At 37.3% G+C, this 2,861-nt stretch overlaps 1 annotated feature.

The window, feature by feature from the left end:
• Nucleotides 1,623-2,122: an enhancer, noted in NCBI's record as "H3K4me1 hESC enhancer chr20:53530679-53531178 (GRCh37/hg19 assembly coordinates)". NCBI's record gives its function as "activates a minimal SCP1, AML or CMV promoter by ChIP-STARR-seq in primed H9 embryonic stem cells {active_cell/tissue: H9 hESC(primed)}" and the evidence as "EXISTENCE:reporter gene assay evidence [ECO:0000049][PMID:30033119]".

A 2,861-nucleotide genomic window follows, 5' to 3' on the forward strand; every position in this document is an offset into this window, starting at 1 on the left:
TGGATAATCAGCATTTTAAAGAAAAAGAAACAAAAAATCAAAAGTGAATCCTTTGTCCCAACATTATAATCACAAAGTAATACTTTCCTTGCTCTGTACATAACAATAGCAGTAGTTCATATTCACTCCATACATCATAGTTATAAAGTGTTTGTTTATGTACTCTTTCATGTAATCTTTATGCCAATACTCTTACTTTATGTCTGAATTCTTGTTGAAGAGATCCGGAAACTTAGATTTTAAGTAATCTGACCAAGATTGCATGCCAACACGAGGGAAAACCTATGCAATATATCTAATTTCAAACATATTATAATTTCCTGTAAACTGCCCTCCTTCTCGAGGCTTTGGAAAGCTGGTCCACCTTGGAGGTCCTTTTCTTCTTATTCATTGCTGATCTCATTCATCTCTGTTCATGCGAGATTTTTCATACAGTAGGACTGAAATAAAGAAGATGTGAATTAATTAGGTCTCTTATGATTTCTGATTATAGAGCAATTAGAAGGTTATATATACTGAAAAACTGAGGTTAACCAAATATGCAAAACAGGGAATTAAATGAGTAGAGTGGTGTGTGTGTTTGTGTATTGGACTATTGACACATTTAAAATGTAGAAATATATGAATTGAAGTTGGAAATTATTGATGATGTATTTTTTTCTGAGGCAAGCATATAACAGAATACCATGTGTGGTGTGATTTTATTGTATAACATGTTACTATATTACAAGTGACACTTACGGAGTGCTTCCTACTTACTGGGAGCTATTCTAAAATTGATTCGTGGTAACTTAATACTCATAATGCCTTTGTGAGATGGGTACTTTCTGTATAGAGGAATATAAGTTGCTCAAGGTTGGTGAGTTCTGACTCTGGGATGTAGGGACTAATTACTAAAGAAAGAAGGAAGGAAGTGGGGGAGGGAGAAAAGAAGGAAGGACAGACAGAAGAAAGGATGAAAGGAAAGAAATAACAGTGGTTATCTCTGAGTTGTAAAATGAAGGTTAAATTTTGGTTTCTTTTGTCTGCTTCTTTGTATTTTCTTCCTTATGTTCATATTCTTATTTACAATTCACATGTAAGTCTTCGAATAAAGTAAAATTTATATCATGCTTGGGAAGAGCCTTGATGAAGGGAAAAATATTCTTTAATAAACTTTTATTAGCTTAGTTTCCAAAAGTTATGGGTGTGTTAGGGATATAGATATACAACTGGAATTAGCAAAACTCTGGTAAATTTTGAGTGAACACAATGTATAAAGTCTGAAGAACTTCATGGCTCATCAATGGTCCCATAATATGATTGTCTTGGGCAAAAGAGTCTTACCCATGTTGATGTTAACATGGAAAAGACAGTCTTCTGATGCTGACACTTTATTTGCTTTATTAATTCATGTTTTAGATTAGTCTTTTAATTACGTTGCAGAAATGATTCTTTTTTTTTTTGAGATGGAGTCTCGCTCTGTCGCCCAGGCTGGAGTGCAGTGGCGCAATCTCGACTCACTGCAAGCTCCACCTCCCGGGTTCACGCCATTCTCCCGTCTCAGCCTCCCGGGTAGCTGGGACGACAGGCTCCCGCCACCACAGCCGGCTAATTTTTTTGTACTTTTAGTAGAGGCGTGGATTCACCGTGTTAGCCAGGATGGTCTCGATCTTCTGACCTCGTGATCCGCCCACCTCGGCCCCCCAAAGTGCTGGGATTACAGGCGTGAGCCACCGCGCCCGGCCAGAAATGATTCTTAAAGCATCCACATGTAAGGACAAGTCTGCCTGATGCTGGATGCAAGCACTGCTGCTTATTATTGGGAGGAGTCAAACATGACTCTCCCATGGTAGAGGAAGGGAGGGACCACTAAGGGTTGTCTTAAACGTGGGGAGACTGGACTTTTTCCCGTTTTCTCCCGTTAGACACATACCAGGTGGATCCGTTATTGTTTTTAGATCAATTCCCAAGTCTTCAGAAATGTCCATCATTGAAGGTGAATATATGATGTATTCCAGAGGGAGATGGAGACTCTTGCTGTGTTACTCAGCTTGCATTTGAACGCCAGCAGTCTCATCTTGATGCTATGCCTTAGATTTCTCAGCTGACCAACAATTTGGGAGATTTTGCATTTTCAAGAAAGAACTTTAAAGAAAAGATTTTAAGGTGTATTCGGTTAATTTTAATTGAGAGTAAACAAGTTGAATTTTCTCCACTGTGATTTTAGTAAATAGTAAATCATCAAGCTCATACAGTCCTTCACCAGAAATAGATGAGTCTGTATTTTAGGGGATAACTGAGCTTGTCTTTAAAATTTATTAGTAATGAGACACACATTCTGAGGTTTCTTAGAAAGTGTACATGAAGAAATAAGATATCTAGAGGCAATTACAGAGTTGGGCTTCAAAATTACTTTTATGAAAAGAAACAACATTTGTCATTTTTGTTTAAAATCTTGATTTATCACATTCTGAGCAGAGCTTGAAATGTTGTGTTTTTATTTTACCTAACAGAATGCCTTGCCTGCAGGCAAGCAGAATGTTGGATTAAAACTTTTAATACTCTAGGGCAAAATCTGCTGATTTTAATAAGAGACAAAGGCTCATTTGGATCTTTCTGTCATTATAAAAACAAGCTGAGCTTCTGTTTATCATGTTCATTGCTTTAATTCTGGGCGCATGGCATTGGAAAAGGAGATGGTTACCAGGGCACACATGGCCTGAAATGAGCAATAAATCTGAGGATCTGTCAACAGAAGAGCTTGCTGTCACAGGTAATTGTCTAACTCCATCTTCTTTCATCTGTAGCCAAGAAGATGTCAAATGAATATTGTTGACAAATGTATCACTTTATGCAAATGGCTTAAAAGAAAAACAAAG

This window comes from Homo sapiens, chromosome 20 (assembly GCF_000001405.40).
Source record: "Homo sapiens chromosome 20, GRCh38.p14 Primary Assembly".
NCBI classification, from domain to species: Eukaryota; Metazoa; Chordata; class Mammalia; order Primates; family Hominidae; genus Homo; species Homo sapiens.